This window comes from Homo sapiens, chromosome 3, assembly GCF_000001405.40.
Source record: "Homo sapiens chromosome 3, GRCh38.p14 Primary Assembly".
Lineage (NCBI taxonomy): Eukaryota > Metazoa > Chordata > Mammalia > Primates > Hominidae > Homo > Homo sapiens.
Window position 1 is genome coordinate 179,301,173 of NC_000003.12, and position 1,243 is coordinate 179,302,415.

At 40.1% G+C, this 1,243-nt stretch overlaps 1 annotated feature.

Moving 5' to 3' along the window:
- Positions 469-885: a transcriptional cis regulatory region, noted in NCBI's record as "candidate enhancer chr3.5052 targeted for multiplex CRISPR interference". NCBI's record gives its function as "positively regulates MRPL47 gene expression in K562 cells {active_cell/tissue: K562}" and the evidence as "EXISTENCE:mutant phenotype evidence [ECO:0000015][PMID:30612741]".

Sequence of the window (1,243 nt, forward strand, 5' to 3'; positions counted from 1 at the left end):
GGAGGCTGAGGTGGGTGGATCACCTGAGGTCAGGAGATTGAGACCAGCCTGGCCAACATAGCAAAACCCCATCTCTACTAAAAATACAAAAATTAGCCAGGCCTGGTGGCGGCCGCCTGTCATCCCAGCTACCTGGGAGGCTGAAGCAGGAGAATTGCTTGAACCTGGGAGGTGGAGGTTGCAGTGAGCCGAGACGGCACCATTACACTCCAGCCTGGGCAACAAGAGTGAAACTCTGTCTCAAAAAAAAAAGAATGAACTTTATATAAAACTACAATATTACAATTTCTGAAGAAGCAAGACATATCAGATCATAGAGTTCTCAAATGTAACTGTATAATATTGTTCTCTTTTTCAGTATAGCAGAGGCAAAACTTTACCCTCTTAGAATTTTCAGCTGGGCCTGAGAATTAAATTGACATAAAACAGATTAACAGAAGAAAAGCACATGAATTTATTTAGTGTAAGTTTTATGTGACACAGAATTTTTTATAAGAAAATGAAGACCCAAAGAAGTGGCACAACCTAAATGCTTTTATACTGGTTTGAACAGAGAGAGGCAATTGTGGAAAAGTAACTAAAATATATGGGGAGGCTAGAGGCAGATAAGAGCTATTTTAACAAGTTTTGTTTGTACAGAATTCTCTGTGCTTCAACTCCCTGTCCCTAGTGATAAAAATGTTATTTCCTCCTAGTGTAGGGAGGATACCTTTCATACAGCAGTTTTATCTCTTACTTTCAGGAAGAAAAGAGACACTCAGAACATTCTTCTTATACCTGTTGTTTTTTAAGTCCGTTTAGCTCAAAATAATTCTTACGCCAAAGTGGCATATTTCGGGGTGACATATTTTGCCACCCTTCATCAGAGACATTATCCTTTTTGTAAGAAATTGAAAAAGAATTCAATGTCCTTTTTATGTTAAATGTTTGATCTACAGGGGAGTAGAAACGTTCTTTTGACTGATATGTGCCCATTTCCCAAAGATATAGAGCACTAGTGTCTTTTTGCAATTATAGGCAAAGAAAGTGTTCTCAGTTATAAGACCTCTTTTTTTATTTTGGAGACAGAGTCTTGCTCTGTCACCCAGGCTGGAGTGCAGTTGTGTGATCTCAGCTTGCTGCAATCTCCGCCTCTCAGGTTGAAGCAATTCTCCTCCCTCAGCCTCTCAAGTAGCTGGGACTGCAGGCGCACGCTGCTACACCCGGCTAATTTTTTGTATTTTAGTAGAGAGAGTGTTTCACC